This window comes from Homo sapiens, chromosome 5 (assembly GCF_000001405.40).
Source record: "Homo sapiens chromosome 5, GRCh38.p14 Primary Assembly".
In the NCBI taxonomy this organism is placed as follows: Eukaryota; Metazoa; Chordata; class Mammalia; order Primates; family Hominidae; genus Homo; species Homo sapiens.
The window spans coordinates 119,031,996-119,050,624 of record NC_000005.10 but is presented as its reverse complement, the minus strand read 5'-3'; the positions used below and the strand labels follow the sequence as shown (position 1 = coordinate 119,050,624).

At 40.6% G+C, this 18,629-nt stretch overlaps 1 long non-coding RNA gene across 2 annotated transcripts in view, besides 2 other annotated features; it reads left to right on the top strand.

Moving 5' to 3' along the window:
* Positions 1-18,629, top strand: part of DMXL1-DT (DMXL1 divergent transcript) — a 74,579-nt gene that overhangs the window by 20,266 nt on the left and 35,684 nt on the right. The window contains exons 1-2 of one of the 2 annotated variants that reach the window (NR_134249.1): positions 12,964-13,007; positions 16,279-16,355. The exons of the other annotated variant lie outside the window; for it this stretch is intronic. This is a non-coding gene — a long non-coding RNA (DMXL1 divergent transcript). Of the gene's footprint in view, positions 1-12,963; positions 13,008-16,278; positions 16,356-18,629 lie in introns of those variants that run through there. 2 annotated transcript variants of the gene reach the window in all.
* Positions 406-906: an enhancer, noted in NCBI's record as "OCT4-NANOG-H3K27ac hESC enhancer chr5:118385414-118385914 (GRCh37/hg19 assembly coordinates)". NCBI's record gives its function as "activates a minimal SCP1, AML or CMV promoter by ChIP-STARR-seq in primed H9 embryonic stem cells {active_cell/tissue: H9 hESC(primed)}" and the evidence as "EXISTENCE:reporter gene assay evidence [ECO:0000049][PMID:30033119]".
* Positions 11,798-12,303: an enhancer, noted in NCBI's record as "H3K27ac-H3K4me1 hESC enhancer chr5:118374017-118374522 (GRCh37/hg19 assembly coordinates)". NCBI's record gives its function as "activates a minimal SCP1, AML or CMV promoter by ChIP-STARR-seq in naive H9 embryonic stem cells {active_cell/tissue: H9 hESC(naive)}" and the evidence as "EXISTENCE:reporter gene assay evidence [ECO:0000049][PMID:30033119]".

Sequence of the window (18,629 nt, the reverse complement as noted above, 5' to 3'; positions counted from 1 at the left end):
GATTGCTTGATAGGAGACTTCTGTTTTAAATGGAACTTGGAAATATCCAGAAAATCACTGGAATAAATGTACTTAATAGACCCAATGCTGTGAAATTCTTTTTAACCGTTTTCTTAAGCACATAAAAATATATAACACTTCCTCCAACATTTTTTGAAATAAAATTTGGTTTGAGGTTTTTCTCTGTAATATTTGCCGTATAAATATTTCTTAAAATGCTTTCATTGCCTACCTGCCTGCCTTTCTGCCTTCCTGCCTTCCTTCTTTCTCTTAGTGCTGAGGCTGACTTCTTAACACCAGTAGATTCTGACCCCTTTCATTACTTTAATCTGCCAAGGAGGTGCAGTTCAGAAACCGAAGGGAAAAGCAGGGCTTGATCCCACAAAACACTCAATCTCAGTTCCACATGGCTGGGGAGGCTTCGCAATCATGGCAGAAGGTGAATGAGGGGCAAAGTCACATTTTACACGGTGTCAGGCAAGAGGGGGCTAGGAATTTTAAGGGTTTTAGATTGGGCTGAAGTATGGATATCATTGATTGAAGAAAGAGTGCAGGGTGAAATCATGTGACAGAGAGATGAAAAAACTGTATTATCATGCTGATTCAGTTCCTCTGTGGTTCCTAGGGAAGGATCTTTAAACTCATTGGCATCAGCTGTTCTGCTGGAATTCAGGCTATGCTTAAGCAATTCTTTTTTTTTTTTTTTTTTTCTGAGATGAAGTCTTGCTCTGTCGCCCAGGCTGGAGTGCAGTGGTTTCATCTCGGCTCACTGCAACCTCCGCCTCCTGGGTTCAAGTGATTCTCCTGCCTCAGCCTCCTGAGTAGCTGGGATTACAGGCACCCACCACCACGCCTGGCTAATTTTTGTATTTGTAGTAGAGACAGGGTTTCACCATGTTGGCCAGGCTGGTCTTGAACTCCTGACCTCAGGTGATCCGTCCGCCTCTGCCTCCCAAAGTGCTAGGATTACAGGCGTGACCATCCGTGTGACCTGCTTAAGCAATTCTTAAACAAAGCCTTATGATTCTAACATCAGAAATCCTATTGATAGGAAAAATGGGAATGCAAGTTGTCAGTATCTAGTGTTAGATGACTTTTGGGTACAAGGAAGTGGGTCAAAGTACAGCCTGATAATGCTTAATTATAACTATATTTCTCTCCAGAATTCTTGTTAACCTTGCGAGGACAGCTTTAAACTCACTGTGCTCACTAGAGCTTGTTAGCTAGATTAGAATGTTAACATTTACAGAGAAAGTAGATATGTTTGGGGATAGTTCATGAGTTAAAGTGCTCCTGAGGGTTCTTGACCTCAGGAGGAGCCCAATTAAGAATGGCCAGCTGGTTTGGATGCAGTGGCTCACACCTATAATCCCAAAACTTTGGAAGTCATGAGTTAAAGTGCTCCTGAGGGTTCTTGACCTCAGGAGGAGCCCAGTTAAGAATGACCAGCTGGGTTGGATGCAGTGGCTCACACCTATAATCCCAAAACTTTGGAAAGCTGAGGCAGGAGGATGGTTTGAGACCAGGAGTTCAAGACCAGCCTGGACAACATAGTGAGGCCCTGTCGCTACAAAAAAAAAAGTTTCAAAAAGTAGCTGGGCATGGTGGCATGCACCTGTAATCCTAGCTACTCAGGAGGCTGAGGCAGGAGGATTGTTTGAGTCCAGGAGTTTGAGGCTACTGTGAGCTATGATCATGTCTCTGCAGTCCAGCCTGGGCAACAGAATGAGACCCTGTCTTAACAACAACAAAAAGAATGGTCAGCTAATTAAAGAATTTTGAGTATTCTAGTGTTTCCTAAGGAGGTAGCTATTATTAAAATAGGAATGCTCTGGCACTCAACTAAGATCTTAGCCCTCATGATACTTCAAAAAGCTACATATTTGAAGAGGATCAAGGAGTCTGCAAAATGCCAGCATTCAAAAGAGCTCACAATCCAGCTATGTGGCAGAAGCATGTAATCAAGTAAATACAATAACCGATATAAATAATCTTAGAGAAGCAACCTGTCAGGCAAACAGGATTTGCCATATGAAGGAAATCATCAGTTCTTGAGAAAGGGAAGGAAATAGTAATGGATATGGAACAGTTTCTTCTGGACTTTTCTGGAAAGGGAAGGCTTTCCAGGCCAAGTGGGTAGCATAAGCAAAGGCAGCTTAAGCAAGGTTTATGAAGCAGCTCGGCCAGTCCAGGGACCTGCAAACAGTTTGTGTGGCAGGTCCAGGGATCTACAAACAGTATGTATTATCTCTTCTTTGTTACCAAAGAACATATTTTCCAAATGTGGAAAATATGTGCCCCTTGATCCCTACCTTAAATAAAGAAATTTGGAGTAAGGGAAAGGATTTGGTAAAAGCATAATTTTGTATTAGTACATAGAATGTTTTAGCTGAAAAGCTTCTGATTTTTACTGTTATAAATATATCTTGATTCTGATAGTCTCACTTATTTCTTAATTGCCCTAAAACTTAGCTTAAGAATTATGCCACATATTCAATTCTAATGACATACTTTCTCCCACCATCACCCAGTTGCTGCAATATTTTAAAACCTCATTCTGGATTCCAGATAAGCATAAATTCATGAGAATGTGTTTACTTTTAACCAGATGTTATTCAATTGGAAAGCAGTTATGTTCTGATATTCAGAATATTTACAAAGGTGGCCTGTATTCTTTTTTGTTGTTGTTGTTCGAGGCAGGGTCTCTCACTCTGTCGCCCAGGCTGGAGTGCAGTGGTGCTCAACGCAACCTCCACCTCCTGGGCACGAGCAATCCTCCCACTTCAGCTTCCTGAGTCGCTGGGACCACAGGCTCACGCCACCATGTCCAGCTAATTTATATATATTTAGTAGAAATGGGGTTTCACCATGTTGCCCAAGCTGTTCTTGAACTCCTGGACTCAAGCAATCTGCCCTCTTTCACCTCCCAAAGTGCTGGGATCACAGACGTGAGCCACCATGCCTGGCTGCCTGTATTCTTATACTTGAATAACAAATACATATTTTTTTATGTGCCTGTGTATGTGCTTGTATCTGTGTATGTGTACACACAAATATCATTTCTGTTTTTGTAGTATCATTTTGTAACCTAAACCCAACATTCCATGCTATCATCTGATGGTTTTCTAATTATTGTTATGTAGCACTGTTGTTAGTAAACACTGTACATGAAGAGAAGTATTACAGTAAGCCAACTGAACCATAATTCAATGCCCTTATTCAGTATTTTTTTAACTTTTTTTTTTTTTTTTTTTTTTTGAGACAGAGTCTCACTCTGTCGCCCAGGCTGGAGTGCAATGGCACAATCTTGGCTCACCAGAACCTCTGCTTCCCAGGTTTAAGGGCTTCTCCTGCCTCAGTCTCCTAAGTAGCTGGAATTACAGGCACCTGCCACCACACCTGGCTAAGTTTTGTATTTTTAGTAGAGCTGGGGTTTTGCCATGTTGGCCAGGCTGGTCTTCAACTCCTGACCTCAGGTGATCCTCCTGCCTTGGCCTCCCAAAGTGCTGGGATTACAGGTGGGAGCCACCACGCCCAGCCTTACTCAGTACTTTTACTGAGTAATATAAAGATATTGTCATATTAATATAAATATTACAAAGAGTATAAACATATTATTTTCAGAGTATAAGCAATGAAAAACCTAATGATGGAAACAGAAACATGTCATATCCTTTTTTTTCCTTTTAGTTTTGGATCTCAGGTTTAGAGGGTTAAGCTAACTTCCTTGTTCATGGCACATTGCCATTATTTGCTTTACTTTTTAGGTGAGAGAAATATTTTACATATGTTCTCCCATTCCCTAGGGTTTAGATCAAAATGAAATCCTAGAAATGCTCTGGAGTCAGAGAAACTAGGTTCTGTGCCACTTAATAAACATACAATCTTCGGAAAATGATTTGACATCTCTAAGAGTTAATTTTCTCTGAATTTTCAATATGAGCTGGATGTGGTGGCTCATGCCTGTAATTCCAGAACTTTGGGAGGCCAAGATGGGTGGATCACTTGGGCCCAAGAGTTCAAGACCAGAACCGGGCATCTAGTGAGACCTCATCTCTACAAAAATTATGAAAAAATTAGGCATGGTGGTGTGCACCTGTAGTTCCAGCTACTCAGGAGGCTGAGGTGCGAGGATTGCCTGAGCCCAGCGGGGTGAGGCTGCAATGAGCTTTGATCATGTCACTGCACTCCAGCCTGGGTGACAGACCAAGACCCTGTCTCAAAAAAAAAAAAAAAAAAAAGAACTTTGAATATGGACATATGGACAAAGAGTAGTCCAGGCTAGGAATCCCAACTAATATTATGCCATGAAACTTTAAGCAAGTTACTTTGCAAAACTGTGACTCTGATTCTGCAACTGAGGAATGAAAATGACATTGCAATTGTACATAAATAAGATTGTGAAAATTTAAAGCACTGAATCAATGTTAATTTATGTCATCTCATTGAAGAATCTAGTTATGTTTATAATCCTGAAGGTAAGTATAATTAATATTTTGTGTTTATAGTGTTTCTTCCACTCAGGTATTAATAAGCCATTTCAAAGGTGAACAAGCATAAAGCATTTAACCTGCCCAAAGTTATGGACTGAGTTAAGACAGTGACAGGAGGAGCAAGTAACTGATGGACAATTAGAAAGAAAATTCATCTTTTGTGAAGGAGTTCATGTTTATTCCTTAATAGTAAATTACAAGTCCTCAGTGAACCTTACCAGCTGCTCCATTAGGAAGAGGCTGGCACTAATGACCAGACTTTCAGTGTGAGCAGATATTAGGGGTGTCTAGGCTACTTGAATAACCACGGCCGTTCGTCTCTCTTTCAATGCCTAATTCTGACTAAAATTTAGCTCCCCCATAGGGCTAAAAGCAAAGGAGGAAAGATTTTGTTGTAAAAATGATGGAAATCCTGGCTCCTGTAAGGAACTGTGCTTTGACCCTCATTTCTCAAGGCACAAGATTCATCGTTATTGGCTCATTAGCCTCTTTTAGTTGAGGGGCTCTACAGAGCAGTGGTTAGGCTTGGGCCAGACTGCCTGTGTTTGAATCCTGGCTCTGGACTTCACTGGCCATGTAACTTTAAACTCTCAGGGCTTTACTAGGGATGTCCAAAACAGCACCTGCCTCACAAATTAGATCAGCACCTACACCATATTACAGGCTCAATTAATATTAACTATTAGTTTTATAGCCCAAACTGTATGCCTAATTGGAATGTGGTTACCTGAAAGGTAGAAGTTGGTAGATAAAATTAAATTAAATTGAAATAATTTATATGTGTAGTTACTATTAAGATACCAACATGTATCACCTTATTTTTACTTTTTTTTTTTTTTTTTTGAGACAGAGTCTCACTCTTTTGCCCAGACTGGAGCACAGTGGCGCAATCTTGGCTCGCTGCAACCTCCACCTCCCAGGTTCAAGCAGTTCTCCCGCCTTAGCCTCCAGAGTAGCTGGGACTACAGGCACACTCCACCATGCCTGGCTAAATTTTGTGTATTTAGTAGAGACAAGAATTCACCATGTTGGCCAGGCTGGTCTTGAACTCTGACCTCAGGTGATCCACCCACTTTGGCCTCCCAAAGTGTTGGGATTCAGGCGTGAGCCACCCCCACCAGCGTGTATCACTTCATAGTCATATAGATCATACCAATTTGTTCCTCTTCATCACTAAAATCCCAAAAGTTTGTACAGCAGGGTAAGTACATGGGCTTTTTGGTCAGCCATGATACTATGTGTCCTTGTCTTCGTTTCCCCATCTGTAAAATGGTAAAAACAGTGCCTTCGGCTGGGCGCGGTGGCTCACACCTGTAATCCCAGCACTTTAGGAGGCTGAGGTGGGCGGATCACTTGAGGTTGGTGGATCACTTAAGGTCAAGAGTTCGAGACCAGCCTGACCAATATGGTGAAACCCTGTCTCTACTAAAAGTACAGAAATTAGCCAGGCGTGGTGGTGAGCACCTGTAATCCCAGCTATTCGGGAGACTGAGGCAGGAGAATCACTTGAGCCCAGAAGGCGGAGGTTGCAGTGAGCCAAGATTATGCCACTGCACTCCAGCCTGGGTGACAGAGCAAGACTGTCTCAAAAACCAGTGCCTTCGTCATGGAGTTACTTAGATAAGAGAGGTTTAGATAAGTAAAGTGATTAGCTCAGTTTCTGAGAAACAGTAAATACTTAATATTATATTATTCATAGTAAATGTTAATGGTTGTCATTGTTATTTTCAATAAAATAACAAATTGGCTGAGGCAGTGGCTCACACCTGTAATCCTAGTACTTTGGGAGGCTGAGGCAGCAGGATCACTTGAGCTCAGGAGTTCTAGACCAGCCTGGGCAACATAGTGAGATACCTTCTCTATTAACAAAAGAAAAAAATAAAAATAAATAAAATAACAAGTCATATATGCCCCTTCTGGTATTTCCTCATTTTAACTATCATTATCAAATTTAATTGTGGTCAGAATTAGGGCCTGTCACTGTAAATTTAGTCATTTATAAACAATCCTAGAACAATCCTAAGTTTGGTCCGTAGTAGACACTCATATAAATATTGTTGATGAATGCCCCTGTTGGTACACTGAATGTTTAACTTTTCTCTGTGAACCTCACAGCTCAGTCTCTAAGATATTTTTGTTTTGTTTTACCTCACTATTTCAAGCCAGTTTAGCTGAGGGAGGTTGTTTATGCTATCACTAGATCCTGCTGTATCTAATCTCGTCTTCTAAGCTGAATGTTAGAAGCAGCTGAAAGAAGTATAGCAAGTTGGCGTTAGAGTAGACATCGAGAAAGTATGGAGGGTTTAGGAAAACATTTTTAATGGTAATAAGAAAAGAAGCCACGCATGGTGGTTCACGCCTGTAATCCCAGTACTTTGGGAGGCCGAGGCATGGTGGTTCACGCCTGTAATCCCAGTACTTTGGGAGGCCGAGGCGGGCGGATCACCTGAGGTCAGGAGTTTAAGACCAGCTTGGCCAACATGGTGAAACCCCGTCTCTACTAAACATACAAAAATTATCCAGGTGTGGTGGTGCATGCCTGTAATCCCAGCTACTCAGGAGGCTGAGGCAGGATAATCACTTGAACCCGGGAGGTGGATGTTGCCGTGAGCCGAGATCACGCCACTGCACTCCAGCCTGGATGAGAGAGTGAGACTCCGTCCAAAAAAAAAAAAAGAAAAGAATAAGATATTCTTTTCTTGGACTTAAATGCCTCATATGTATGTTGGAGTTTGAATTACCTTCTCTATGGGCCAACTCTGCGAAATTTTAGTTAGCATTTTCCTTCATCCAATTTACTCAGCTTAAACATCATTAATGTCTTAATAGATTAAAATTAATTGTTGTATTAGCTTAAGCAAAATGCAATAAGGAAGGTGAACATTTAGCTCCCTTCTTCCTCAAATGCATTTCAAAGCACAATAGAGGTTTTACATTATGAATTGCTCTCAAATACTCATAGTACTGCCACCCATCATTTAAAGAGAGAAACATTTTTTAAAATTGTAATAAGTTAACAAAATTTATTTTCTTTTTTTAATATTCTTTTATTTTTTTACTTCCTCTATGCGGGCCAAGAGGAGAAAACAAAAGATTTTAGCAGAAAAAAAATTACCATTAATTCCCAAGGGGAAGCAAAGTTGTATGTACCCATTCATATACTGTACTTACAATAGATTGTTTATTAAATTTTGTTTCCTTAATCTAAACTTTATCTAAACACAGCCCTTAATCTAAACTTTATCTTCATTTACAGTGGGTCAACGATGTTGCTATGGCAATGCCAGTACTCATAGCACTAGAAAGTGGCCAGGTCAGAATAACACCAGCTATGCTTCTCTGTGTCCATAGCGCTTTGTGCATGGTGTTTATCATTTATTAGCTGTATGATATTTGTTTGGTTATTTGTATACCTGTCCAGAGACAGTTTATATAATTCCTGCTGCCTGGGACAATCTATTGGAAGGCGGGAAGAAAAGTGTGTTGGTATAGAGCTAGAGATAGGGTCAGAGAAGTGGGCCTGAAAAAGTGCTATTGCCATTATGTTCTCCTGCCTCTTACATACACCCAGCTGCCTGCAGTTTTGTGTCTCTATCAAATTTCTTGATACTAGTATTAAAGAAAAGTAATTCCAAGATTTTTTTTGTTGTTACTAGTGGATTCAATCATTTTAATCCCCATCAGTAGTAACAATACTGAAAGTATATATATATATATATATATATATATATATATATATATATATATATATATTTTTTTTTTTTTTTTTTTTTTTTTTTTTTTGAGACGGAGTATCACTCTGTCGCTCAGGCTGGAGTGCAGTGGCACGATCTCAGCTCACTGCATCCTCTGCCTCCCGGGTTCAAGTACTTCTCCTGCCTTAGCCTCCTGAGTAGCTGGGATTACAGGCACGTGCCACCCCGCATGGCTATTTTATGTATTTTTAGTAGAGATGGGGTTTTACCATGTTGGTCAGGCTGGTCTCAAACTCCTGACCTCGTGATCCACTTGCCTTGGCCTCCCAAAGTGCTGGGATTACAGGCGTGAGCCACTGCATCTGTCAGAAGTATTTTTAAATGCAGGATTTAAAATAGGCTATACTGAATAATTCATAATCTATTATGTATGTTCTTGTCCATCTCCTTTATCAAAGTTTGGTTTTTGTGTCTGTCAGTCTTGAGATTAATAAAACCTTTTGAGGTTTAAAAACAAAAAGAAGCTTAACATTATTTTCCCTTTGTACTTTAACTTACCCTTTTATCCATAAAGGTGAAAGATTTAATTTTGGAACCACACCCATTTTTCACCCTAAGGAGTATATTAAATAACATATGATGGGACACAACAAAATATTACTGTTGATATGGCTTTTTGGAGTACTGTTCTTTGACTCCAAAAGACGCTTGATTGACTGCATTCTTCCTGATTGCAAGATAGCACAGCTTATTAACCTGAGGGATAGGATGGCATTTGCTGTGTATTTTACTGTTTTAACAATAGGGTTTTCGCAGTAGATTATGTTATCGGTCTTCATAATATTTCAAGGGAAACTGTTAGTTTAATTTAAAAAATTCTATTTCCTTTTTTTTGAATAGATAGTACATTCATATGGTTTAAAATTCAAAAGATTCAAAAGGGTATATAGTAAGATGTTTTTCTTTTGTCTTCCAGCCACCCAGTTCCTGGAGGTGATCACTGTTTTGGGTATTCTTCTAGACATATTTGAATATATATATTTTTTTTTTTTCACGAGACGGAGTCTTGCTCTATCCCCCAGGCTGGAATGCAGTGGCGCAATCCTGGCTCACTGCAACCTCTCCCTCCCAGGTTCAAGCAATTCTGCCTGCTCAGCCTCCCTAGTAGCTGGGATTACAGGCATGCGTCACCACGCCCAGTTAATTTTTGTATTTTTACTAGAGACAGGGTTTCACCATGTTGGTCAGGCTTGTCTTGGGCTCCTGACCTTGTGATCCACCTGCCTCGGTTTCCCAAAGTGCTGGGATTACAGGCGTGAACCACCATGCCCGGCCTAGACATATTCTAATACTGATTTTCATTTTATTTATTTAGATTTATTATTTTTTTTTATGGATGGGGTCTTGCATTTTGTCCAAGCTGGACTCAAATTCCTGGGCTTAAGAGATCTTCCCATCTTAGCCTCCCAAATAACTGGGACTACTGGCATGAGCCATCATGCCTGGATTGATTTTTTTAAAATTATTTTTTCTCACTACAAGGACAAGGACTCATACTGATTTTTGTCACATCTCATTTAATCTAAGCAGACATTTGGCTCAGCCCCTAAATGCGATTCAGTTTTTTCGTAGAAGAGTTGTTTCTCCCCACTGGCCATTTGCTATAAATTAGTTTAAGAAATGGAAAAATTCAGTATAATTAAACTCCCATTTGAACAAACTTAATAGGACGTTAAAATTGCTGGTTTTAAATAATGTTTAAAAGAAGCCAATTGCTAAAAGTGTAGATCACAAAGGTTTTTTCAAAAAATAATAAAATGGCTGGGCGTGGTGGCTCATGCCTGTAATCCCAGCACTTTGGGAGGCCAAGGCAGGCAGATCACCTGAGATCAGGAGTTCGAGACCAGCCTGACCAACATGGAGAAACCCCATCTCTACTAAAAATACAAAATTAGCTGGGCGTGGTGGCACATGCCGGTAATCCCAGCTACTCTGGAGGCTAAGGCAGGAGAATCGCTTGAACCCAGGAAGCGGAGGTTGCAGTGAGCTGAGATTGCGCCATTGCACTCCAGCCTGGGGTAACAAAAGCGAAACTCCGTATAAAAAAAAAAAAAAAAATATATATATATATATATATATATATATATATATATATATATATAAAATCATAATAAAGCAAGTGTCTTCTTGGGTTGGTTTGTTAGTGAAGAGGATGACTTTTATATCAGGAAATTCTTTGTTGTTGCTTTAATCTTGTCATGTGGGACAAAATTCATGTCAGATTAGGCTTCAAATCCATTTGCACAGTGCCCTTTCTTTTTTTTTTCTTGAGACAAGGTTTCATTCTGTCACCCAGGCTGGAGTGCAGTGGCATGATCACAGCTCACTGCAGCCACAATCTTCTGGGCTCAAGTGATCCTCCTCCCTCAGCTTCCCAGGTAGCTGGGACTACAGGCATGCACCACCATGCCCAGCTAATTTTTTCTTTTCTTTCTTCTTTTTTTTTTTTTTTTGAGACGAAGTCTTGCTCTTGTACCCCTGACTGGAGTGTGATGGTGCAATCTCGGCTCACTGCAACCTCTACCTCTTGGGTTCAAGCAATTCTTCTGCCTCGGCCCCCCGAGTAGCTGGGATTATAGGTGCCTGCCACCACGCCAGGCTAATTTTTGTATTTTTAGTAGAGATGGGATTTTACTACGTTGGCCAGGCTGGTCTAGAACTCCTGACCTCAGGTGATCCACCCGCCTTGGCCTCCCAAAGTGCTGGGATTACAGGCATGAGCCACCGCACCCGGCCAATTTTTTCTATTTTTTGTAGAGACAGGGATTTCAATACGTTCCCCAGCCTAGTCTGGAACTGCTAGACTCAAGTGATTCTCCTGTATCAGCATCCGAAAGTGCTGTGATTACAGGTATGTGTCACCACACCCAGCCCAGTATCCCTTCTTTTATCTCTACATCTCCCTGCACTTTAAAAGCAATCATGGTAGGTTGGGCGCGGTAACTCACGTCTGTAATCCCAGCACTTTGGGAGGCCAAGGTGGGTGGATCACCTGAGGTCAGAAGTTGGAGACTAGCCTGGCCAACATAGTGAAACCCCTGTCTCTACTAAAAATACAGAAATTAGCCAGGCGTGGTGACGGGTGCCTGTAATCCCAGCTACCGGGGAGGCTGAGACAGGAGAATCGTTTGAGCCCAGGAGGCAGAGGTTGCAGTGAGCGGAGATGGCGCCACTGCACTCCAGCCTGGGCAACAAAGAACAAAACTCCATCTAAATAAATAAATAAATAAATAAATAAATAAATAAGTAAATAAATAAATGCAAGCAATAAACGGCTAGGCATGGTGGCTCACACCTGTAATCCCAGCACTTTTGGAGGCCAAGGCTGGTGGATCACCTGAGGTCAGGAATTCAAGACCAGCCTAGCAAACATGGTGAAACCCTGTCTCTACTAAAAGTACAATAATTAGCTGGGCATGGTGGTGGGCACCTGTAATCCCAGCTACTTGGGAGGCTGAGGCAGGAGAATTGATTGAACCCCAGAGGTGGAGGTGAGCCAAGATCGTGCCATTGCACTCCAGCCTGGGCGACAAGAGCGAAACACAGTCTCAAAAAAAAAAAAAAAAAAAAAAAAGCAATAACCTTTTCCTTAGCCTAGCTCCTCTATCCTGCCAGCATTTGCATTTTACACGTTTTTAGAGTTGCCCAGTGGGTCTATTCCTGTTTACGTCACTTCTCTGTTCTTCTTTCCTGTTTTGCAGCCGATTAAGGTCCCAGCATACAAACACAGAGCATAAAGAATTAATTCCAGAGTAGTCACGTTGGATATTTTGGTGTTTGGGAACAAAACTTTTATATAGCGCTTTCCATTCAGTATAATTTGTTGAACCATGTAAACTGCCTTACGATTCATGGGTAATTTGTTTGGATATGGGAATTGGTTCATAAAATAGAAACTTAAATTGTACAGGTATTTAGTGAAATTGGACTTTCCTTGATGATACAGGTCTGTCTTAGACTCTACCAAGGAAAATTACTCGTGAGGTGATCCTGAAGAAAGGTACATGGTCCCACTCACAATGAGTTCCCTACTGGGGCCCTGCAAAGGGTATTAATGGTGAAGATATAAGGTAAGGTATTGTCCTCAGGGTACCTATTGGGTCCACAATAAGATTCCTTTCTCTTTTTTTGAGTCGGAGTTTCGCTATTGTCGCCCAGGCTGGAGTGCAATGGCGCGATCTCACCTCACTGCAACCTCCGCCTCCTGGGTTCAAGCGATTCTCCAGCCTCGGCCTCTGGAGTAGCTGGGATTACAGGCACCACCACCCCGCCCGGCTAATTTTTGTATTTTCAGTAGAGACAGGGTTTCACCACGTTGGTCAGGTTGGTCTCAAATTCCTGACCTCAGGTGATCCTCCTGCGTCGGCCTCCGAAAGTGCTGGGATTACAGGCGTGAGCCCCCGCGCCTAGCCAAGATTCCTTTCTAATGAGGGCTTTTGGGTATTTCATGTAGTTAATACCATTTTGCTGGATTCAACAAGGACTTACCTTACATTATGTTACATGTACTCTTAGGGCAAGGTCCCAGAGTTTTATTAGTTCTGTCACTATAAATTTATACTAACAGAACATGTACTAACTAAAAAGAACAAGGTTTTCATTTTTCATTATCAAATACTGTAACCAGGCAACCAGGAATTTGATTAGAATCTGCTGTTTGCTTGGCACACAATCTTACTGACCTCATAGGCCTCCACCAACAAGGTTAGAGATTCCTGTGCCAACATCATACTGTTCTAGAATTACTGGATCTCTTATGGTAACGTATCTTTTTCCCAGTGGGCTTTAGATCAAGTTTTTTTCTACTTATTCACTTTTTAAAACCACACTGCTTTAAATGGGTTGTCTGAAATACGTCTCTTACTAGCACAATCTTACATTTCATAATTTGAAAACAAGGGTATCTGGGCCCAACCTATTTTTTAGTCTATGTGAGAACTAATTATTATAAAAGTTTAGACTTGTATACAAAATATTAGTGCTTTATTTCTGGTATGTGTTTTCGTAAGAAACTTTATCACTAAAGGACAAAGTAGCAAAAACTCTGTGATCAGATGTTCTTGTTTTATAACATCTAATAATTTTATAATTATATTTTCTGCCACAGTGTTATTTGTTAGATTACTTATAAGGTGGTTATCTTACAAGCCAGGATACCAGATAGTAATGACGGAATTAGTAGAAAACTATTGACTTGTCACCGGGCGTAGTGGCTCACGCCTGTAATCCCAGCACTTTGGGAGGCTGAGGCGTGCAGATCACCTGAGGTCAGGAGTTTGTGACCAGCCTGGCCAACATGGTGAAACCCCGTCTTTGCTAAAAATGCAAAAATCAGCTGGGCGTGGTGGCGGGCATCTGTAATCCCACCTACTCAGGAGGTTGAGGCAGGACAATCGCTTGAACATGGGAGGCGGAGGTTGCAGTGAGCCGAGATCATGCCACTGCACTCCAGCCTGGGCGACAGAATAAGACTCCGTCTCAAAAAAAAAAAAAAAAAAAAAGGAAAAAAGAAAACTATTCATTTGTCTAATGTACTTCCTATGTAGGCTATCATAAATGCAACAGATATCAGTATATCTTGGGAGGCCAAGGTGGGCGAATCACCTGAAGTCAGGAGTTTGAGACCAGCCTGGCCAATATGGCAAAACCCTTTCTCTACTAAAAATACAAAAATTAGCGGGGCGTGGTGGCATGCGCCTGTAGTCCCAGCTACTTGGGAGACTGAGGCACGAGAATAGCTGGAACCTGGGAGGCAGAGGTTGCAGTGAGCCGAGATCATGCCACTGTACGCCAACCTGGGTGACAGAGTGAGACTCCGTTTCAAAACAAACAAGCAAACAAAAATCTATGTCTTTGCATTGCATTTTAACAATGTCTTTAGGTATTTGAATCCTTCTAAATTTATTCTCAAACAAGTTATTGTTAAAAACTAGTAGGAAAATAGCTATGTTTTAAAATGTTCTTTCCTTCTATGATTTCTGGGGTTTATGTTTAAATGATTCTCCTGACAATTACTTTAGAACTGATAGGTAATGACTCATTGGAACAGTCGTACCTCTGACTCATGGAGAATCTAGTATAAGTCATTTGACTCATCTGCTTCTCCCATTTAGGAAAAGTCACTATAAATGTATCATAAGGTGCTGTGAAATGCCTGACTGCACAGATAAAAGGTGCTAGAAAATTACAAGGTTGGAGAGTCTTATGTTAACATGTAGTTTTATAAAACTTCAAAAATGTTTTAATTTTGGTATAGATCAATTCTGTAATAACCTTTTTATGTAGGGGATAAAAACTTTTCCTCCCATATGAAATGTTTCGTTAAGAAATTTTATAGCTTCTGTAGGTTTCTGGTCATTGTGTTAAATAAAATAAATTGAAAGAAGGATTTCTTGTTGAATTTAATTTAGTTTTTTTGCTAATTAAAAAAATCCACACAATATCCAAAGCATACCATAAGTTAGATTAATTAAATCAGTTGCCTATTTCACTTTAAAGTAGAATTAAGCCTATCAGTAGCATAAATTTTTAAAGATTCAGAAATATTAGCCTCCTAAAATGACTTCAACTAACAGAAAGTATGATTTAATGTGGAAATGATATGCTTTTATTAGAATAACTGAAAACTTTTTAAAAATGATAGACTTTTTAAAGAACACTTATAGATTTACAGAAAAATTGAGAAGATAGTACAGTATTCCCATATACCCCATACCACTTTCTCTATTATTCACATTCATTAATATGGTATATTTGTAGGCCGGTTGCAGTGGCTCACGCCTGTAATCCCAGCACTTTGGGAGGCCGAGGCAGGTGGATCACCTGAGGTTGAGGGTTCAAGACCAGCCTGACCAACATGGAGAAACCCCGTCTCTACTAAAAACACAAAATTATCCGGGTGTGGTGGTGCATGCCTGTAACCCCAGCTACTCGGGAGGCTGAGGCAGGAGAATCACTTGAACCCGGGAGGCGGAGGTTGTGGTAAACCGAGATCGTGCCATTGCACTCCAGCCTGGGCAACAAGAGCAAAACTCTGTCTCAAAAAAAAAAAACCAAAAACAAAAAGGTATATTTGTTAAAATTAATGAACCAATATTGATACATTGTTCTTTACTAATGTCCATGGTTTATTTATATTTCTTGGACTTGATATGCTTTTTCTGTCCCAGGATTTCATTAAGCATATCACATTACATTTAGTTATTATGTGTCCTTAGGCTCCTCTTGCCTATGACACTTTCTCAGATATTTTCTGTTTTTGATGATTTTGACAATTTTGAGGAGTACTGGTAAAGTATTTTGTAGCATATCACTCTACGGAGGTTTCTCTGATTGTTTTCTCATGATTGTACTGAAGCTATACGATTTTGGGAGAATACCACAGAGGTGAAGTACTATTTTCTTTTTTTCTTTTTTGAGACAGAGTCGTGCTCCGTTACCTAGGCTGGAGTGCAATGGCGCGATCTCGGCTCACTGCAACCTCTGCCTCCCAGGTTTCAAGCGATTCTCCTGCCTCAGTCTCCTGAGTAGCTGGGATTACAGGCATGCACTACCACACCCAGCTAATTTTGTATTTTTAGTAGAGATGGGGTTTCTCCATGTTGGTCAGGCTGGTCTCGAACTCCTGAACTCAGGTAATCTGCCCGCCTTGGGAGACTCTGGAATTATCATTCAAGTCAATTTATATGCAATGATGCAGTCTCATACACTGTACTCAGCCTTCTTCTGGGCTGCTCACTGCACATATGCTGCAGAGGCTTTGGAGATGCAGTGGCCAGAAGCAAACTTGAACAGAATAGTTCCATTCCTGAGAAAGGCAAGGATTTTTTTTTCCATCCTGCCACCAAAAGTTTCTAATTGATGGGATAAATAGCAACCCTACATTATACCCCAATTTTTGCTTTCAGAAAGAAACGTATAGCCTTGCAGATTTGAAGGTTTTTAAATATAGTAAGCATTAAATGAGTGGACTTCTCTGTTGTTGGCCTATATATTATTATTATATTGTCTCTTTTTTTTCCTTATGAAAGCTAGGGCTGCTGGTCAAACCTGAGTTCCTGAAACCTTTAACCCTACTCAGCCAATACAACCGATAACATTCCTGAAGGTATAGTTAGATCCAGACTTTATGGCGCATGAAGATTATACAGTTTGAGAGGCTCTCTTCAAAATGATAGACAAAATTACATTCATTTCTTAGAAGGGGCCCAAACAATGCAAAGCACTGAAGCTTAAGGTTTGTTAGCTTTATGGATAAGTCTGCCACTACTAAGGAAATTTTTGAAAGTGAAATAATTAATGGATGTAAAATAATACCAAAAATATATATTCCTGTATATGTGTGTGTGGTTTCATATACATATATTTATATATATGAGAAACAAAAAACAACATATTCATAGGAACACTATTTCTATGTGAGGTTTTGTCTCCCATCTCCAATACAGAATCTAGTGAGTTAGATTGGACCATCTAAATGGTCAAATTTGAATCTCAGATTTTACAATTCTTTTTTTTTTTTTTTTTTTTTTTTGAGACAGAGTCTCGCTCAGTCGCCCAGGCTGGAGTGCAGTGGCGCCATCTCGGCTCACTGCAACCTCTGCCTCCTGGGTTCAAGCGATTCTCCTGCCTCAGTCTCCTGAGTAGCTGGGACTACCAGCACCCGCCACCACACCCAGCTAATTTTTGTATTTTTAGTAGAAACAGGGTTTCACCATATTGGCCAGGCTGGTCGAACTCCTGATCTTGTGATCCGCCCACCTCAGCCTCCCAAAGTGCTGGGATTACAAGCGTGAGCCACCGTGCTGGCCTACAACTCTTATGTAAAATGAGGTAGAGAGAAATGTGCTAGACTGGAAAAGAGCAAGTCCAAATACCTAAACTTAAGCTGGCCTGCATTACTAACCTAGACACTTCCCTGAATGAGGATCAGACCTATTTTACCTAAGCCTCCTAGAAGAGAGGACACCGAGAGAGATCACTCCTGTGAGTTCCATTTACCTTTGAAAGCATCTTCCTAAAACACCGTAGGTTATCTTTCGTCCTGTAGGGCAAGGGGCCAGGCAGGAGCCCTTTTGTGTGGCAGAGCTAAGCAGCAGAGCAAAGCAAGTTGGCTAGGTGGTACAGGGACATGGAAGCTACAGAAGCAAACATGGTTTTCTGCCTTCCCCATCTCCAGACTACAAAATTAATCCTTCCATTTACCCAATATCACTTTCCTAAAATTTAGAAACTATTGATATTTATTTTACAGAAGTTTTTGGATTGTTTGCTCTGATTGATCAAGATGTTTAATTCATATGCTATTAATATAGTATAAGTTCCAAAAAACAAAAACTCAGTCTAAAATAATGGGGGGTAAAGAAACTTATGGACTGCGAACTGGAACTACAGCTCTATCTCTCTCTTTCATGGGTCAGTTTCTATTTCCCTCTGTGTTTCTGTTCATTGTCTTCCTGGTGGCTAACTTCTGCTTATAGTTTCTGCTCCCTTTTAACTTCTGTGTGCACATGACTTGGACTTGTTATGGTACTATGCTCTGTGCTGGAAACGTAGCGGTGAGTAAGGCAGCCCTGACTTCTCAGCTCTGCATAGGACCCACAGTAGGGTAGGGAATAAACACACACACACACACACACACACACACACAGTTGTGATGTGCTATGAAACAATTTGTCAGATACAATGAAAGCTTACATTAAGACAGTGTAAACTGTGGATCATGATCTATGAGTGGGTCATGAAATCTATCTAGTGGCTTAAGACCAGTATTTTTAACAAACTAAATAATAAAACATCCTAGTAAATCACAGATAATAAGGATAAGTATTCTTTTGTGAAACTTTTATTTCTGCTTACGTTGTCAGTGAATGAATATATAAATCCAGGGGCTTATAGAGTATGCTTTCAAGAGGAAAGATAGAAAATAAACAAGATAAATTAGTAAAATATAGAATATGTTATAAGATGACAAGAAGCTGAAAAAAGGCAAGGAAGGGGAGTATATAAAATGTGAAGGGTGGGGGTTAAAATTTTAAAAAGGGTAGCCAGAGAAGACTTATTTGGGAAAGCGCCTTGTGGTTAAAGATCTCAAAGAATTGAGGGAGTTAGCCATATGGATACTTGGAGGAGGAACATTCCAGGCAGAAGGAATAGTCAGTGCAAAGGCCCTGAGTGTGGCTGGCCCGTCTGAAGAGAAGCAAGGCCAATATGACTGAAGGGGAGTGAATGGGAGGACTAGCAGGTGACGAGGAAAGAGGGTGAGTCATGGTCAGTGGGGCAGATCATGTAAGGCTACGTGATTTGTAGTAGGCAGGGCCTTGGTTTTGACTCTGAGTGAGATGGGAAGCCATTGGATGGCATTGAGGAAAAGAGTGACGTC